Source organism: Homo sapiens, chromosome 1 (assembly GCF_000001405.40).
Source record: "Homo sapiens chromosome 1, GRCh38.p14 Primary Assembly".
In the NCBI taxonomy this organism is placed as follows: domain Eukaryota; kingdom Metazoa; phylum Chordata; class Mammalia; order Primates; family Hominidae; genus Homo; species Homo sapiens.
In genome coordinates, this window is record NC_000001.11 from 6,752,516 (window position 1) to 6,753,124 (window position 609).

At 44.0% G+C, this 609-nt stretch overlaps 1 non-coding gene across 1 annotated transcript; it reads left to right on the forward strand.

Annotated features, from left to right (window-relative positions):
- The first annotated feature begins 207 nt into the window (after window positions 1-207).
- Window positions 208-306, forward strand: LOC124904847 (small nucleolar RNA U13). Its single transcript, XR_007067439.1, has one exon. It is a non-coding gene; the product is annotated as a small nucleolar RNA U13 (small nucleolar RNA).
- The last annotated feature ends 303 nt before the right edge of the window (window positions 307-609 follow it).

Genomic DNA, 609 nt, shown 5'->3' on the forward strand with positions numbered 1-609 from the left:
GGTGACGTCCAGGAAGACTGTAACCCCATCGTACTAGACCAATGAGCAACTGGGGGAGGGACTGTGTGCTAGGAGATCAATTACCTGCTGTAGCTGCCCTGGCTGTGCCTGCCTACCAGACACCCCATCTTACAAGACTTCCATTAAAAGTCTCACTTCCGCTGTTCTTCGTGTCTCCGAGTCTATTCTTTGGGTTTGAAGGAGTGAATATGTGTTTCTCACGCATGATAATTAGGTTTTCACGAGCATGTGTGACAGTGCCTCCCTCAAAACGAGTTACGACATCAGGACGTTACCCATCTGATATGAAATAAAGAAAAATAGAATAAAATAAGAAATCAAAATATAAGCCTATTAAAAGTTAGAAAGGTGATGGATAGAATAATTTAAGTACTGTAATAATATAAACATCAACCATTAAGAGAAGGGGAAAAACTCAAGAAAGGATTCAAGAAGAACTAGAAAATCTGGCTGGGCACGGAGGCTCAAGCCTGTAATCCCAGCACTTTGGGAGGCTGAGGCGGGCAGATCACTGGACGCCTCCCGAAGTGCTGAGATTACAGGCATTAGCCACCGCACCCGACCAAAAATGGACCATTTAAAACGTTT